The sequence below is a fragment of the Homo sapiens genome, chromosome 15 (assembly GCF_000001405.40).
Source record: "Homo sapiens chromosome 15, GRCh38.p14 Primary Assembly".
In the NCBI taxonomy this organism is placed as follows: Eukaryota; Metazoa; Chordata; class Mammalia; order Primates; family Hominidae; genus Homo; species Homo sapiens.
The window spans coordinates 62987770-62990505 of NC_000015.10; the positions used below are offsets into that span (position 1 = coordinate 62987770).

Consider the following 2736-nt stretch of genomic DNA (forward strand, 5'->3'; position numbering starts at 1 on the left):
CCAGGATTTGTTGTTTCTTCATCATATCCATCTGATCTTGCTTCACAGCTGCCTAATGTTTGCTTTACAGATTCCTGGGACTTCTGCCCCCAAGTCAATTTCTCCTTGTACCTCTTTGAAGTGGGTTCTCCCGCCTGTTGGTTCTGTTGACCACCTCTCTTAGCCTCCCTTCTCCTCTTGCATTTTGGAATTTGGGCTTGCAGGGGCCTCTGGAGCTGCAGCTTACTGTGTTTCGTTTTGCATTTTTCCTCCCTCTGTGTCATCCCTTCCTCCCTCTAAGGCAGTATCCCCGTTGCGTCCTTTCTGATCCAGGAACCCCAGTTCACAACCAAGTCTAATACTGGAGGCTCAAGGCTCTGCCTGGGGCTGACTCCAGCGATCTGACGGAGCTGGAGGCAGGCATTGCCCAGGACCTGGCTACATGGCTGTGTCTGCTCCCTTCCATAGGCCTGGGGAGGCAGCTTTAGGAAGTGGTGGGCCAGGCAACAGTCACTGCTTTCCTCCAATCTCCCTTCATGGGCAAAGGAGGCCTGTCCCACCCCAACCTCACAGAGTGGGCCTGGCTCTGGTTCCCACCTGACATGGGGTGCTTTCACTCCCCTTTAAGTCAAGAAAAGCCAAGAAGGCCAGTCTTGCTGCCTTCGTCAAGACCCAGAACCACCCAGCCCTAGCCTCATTCACCCTCACCCAAGGGTCTGCGCCTTGTGCTGTTGAATGAACACTGAGCTGTTTATCTAGCATTTGACTCTCCTTGTGTTTTTTTTTTTTGTTGTTGTTGTTTCTCTTATTTTTAGTCTTTCTTTACCCAGCGTTTGGAGAAAAGGAAGTCCTGAAAGGATCGTTCTACTAAATCATCTTGACTTAGATATTTATGTGAAATTGTGTTTTAAAAGAAAATTAAAACCAAGGAAGATACAAAGTTTTCACACATGTTTCATTTGGCACTTAAATTAATAGCCAAGTAACCAGGAGAAAAAAGCAGGAAGCCACACTGAGAGAAAGAGGGACTATACTGGGTCCTCGCTTAGGAATCCACTGTTAATTCGCCACACGATCTTCAGTGCCGAGGGTGTTTTGTTTTTGTTTTTGTTTTTGTTTGAGAAAAGAGCTCACTCTGTCACCCAACGCTAGAGTGCAGTGGTGCGATCCTCCCACCTGGCCCTCCCAAAGTGCTGGGATTACAGGTGTGAGCCACTGCGCCCAGCCTTGTGTGCCAATTATTTAGTGCCTTGTCTCTCCCTGTTAAATTGAGACCTCTTCCAGTTCTAGAAGTCTGTGATTCTCTAACCAAAGATCAACATAGCCCAGTGTCCTTGGAGCCTGAAGCAGGATCCTAGGTGTCTCCTTTTCACCGGCCCCCAACTCTCAAATGACTGGCCTGGCCACCACCTCTAGGACTGCCATTCCAGAAATTATAGAATTTAACAAAGTCTCTTTGGGTCTGACAGGGCAAATTATTGCTCTAAGGCTATTTATGTTTTCCCTTTTTCTTCCTCCTTTTTCTCTGACCCAAACTTGAATCCCCCACGAGTGTTTTAGAAAATCTCAATTAAGGGGCAAGTGGAGTTTCTAAAGGAAAACAGGAGTTACCATCTCCATTCCAGACATTACAGCTAGCGAAGGTAAGTATATAACTTGCACAAGGCCACTTGGCAAGTGGAAAAGTCAGGAGGGAATCCAGAGCCCTCTGCCTCCACAGCCCACACGCCTCAGCACAGCACACACTGCCCAGGCACACACTGCCCAGGCACACACTGAGGCTCTGAGACCGGCAGGAGCCAGCACTGGAAAGATCACTCCATGCCCACTCTGCCTGCTCTGGGCACAAGTCCTCCAACAGAGAGCCACAGCAGCCCCCAGGATGTGTGCCAACAATTGCTGCTCACACCCCACATTTAGGGCCAACTTCTACAAATACTCCCTCAATCTCGCTTGCCAGTTGGGCATTTTATTGAAGTCATAGGGGGTGAACTTTACAGATCAAGACTAATCATCTCCCCCTCTTCCTCCACTCACCATCATTTAATCCTCGAGGCAATGTTATAACCTCAGAACACAGCTCCTTTGCCAAGGAAAACAGCTTACGACTTTGTCATTTTCTTGGATTCATAATTCCCAGCTCAGGGCAAAAGGGCAACGTTCCTCCTTACCACCCTGAAGCCTCTCTCCTCTACACCCCTCTCTCCCTTCAGGGCCCTGTCACCCCTACCGCCTGGGCCCTCTCACCCCTACAGCCTGGGCCCTCGTTACCACCCCTTCCACACTCACAGCAGCCCACACCGGGAAGGAAGAGATCAGTGTGTCGGCATTAAGGGTAGTCTTTTTTTTTTTTTTTTTTTTTTTTTCTGAGACGGAGTTTTGCTCCCGTTGCCCAGGCTGGGGTGCAATAATCTCAGCTCACTGCAACCTCTGCCTCCCGGATTCAAGCGATTCTCCTGCCTCAGCCTCCCGAATAGCTGGGATTACAGGCATGAACCACCACACCTGGCTAATTTTGTATTTTTAGCAGAGACAGGGTTTCTCCATGTTGGTCAGGCTGGTCTCGAACTCACGACCTCAGGTGATCCACCCATCTTGGCCTCCCAAAATCCTGGGATTACAGGCGTAAGCCACCGTGCCCAGCAGGGTATTCTTTCCCAGGGGGCCTTCCTATTTAATGGAGCACATTCTTTAAGCGTTTGCACATGCACACACATACACACTTACGCACAACATTTACTGTTTTTCTCATTAGCT

General features: G+C 49.2%; 2 annotated features.

Moving 5' to 3' along the window:
- Nucleotides 1180-1680: an enhancer, noted in NCBI's record as "H3K27ac hESC enhancer chr15:63281148-63281648 (GRCh37/hg19 assembly coordinates)". NCBI's record gives its function as "activates a minimal SCP1, AML or CMV promoter by ChIP-STARR-seq in primed H9 embryonic stem cells {active_cell/tissue: H9 hESC(primed)}" and the evidence as "EXISTENCE:reporter gene assay evidence [ECO:0000049][PMID:30033119]".
- Nucleotides 1681-2181: an enhancer, noted in NCBI's record as "H3K27ac hESC enhancer chr15:63281649-63282149 (GRCh37/hg19 assembly coordinates)". NCBI's record gives its function as "activates a minimal SCP1, AML or CMV promoter by ChIP-STARR-seq in primed H9 embryonic stem cells {active_cell/tissue: H9 hESC(primed)}" and the evidence as "EXISTENCE:reporter gene assay evidence [ECO:0000049][PMID:30033119]".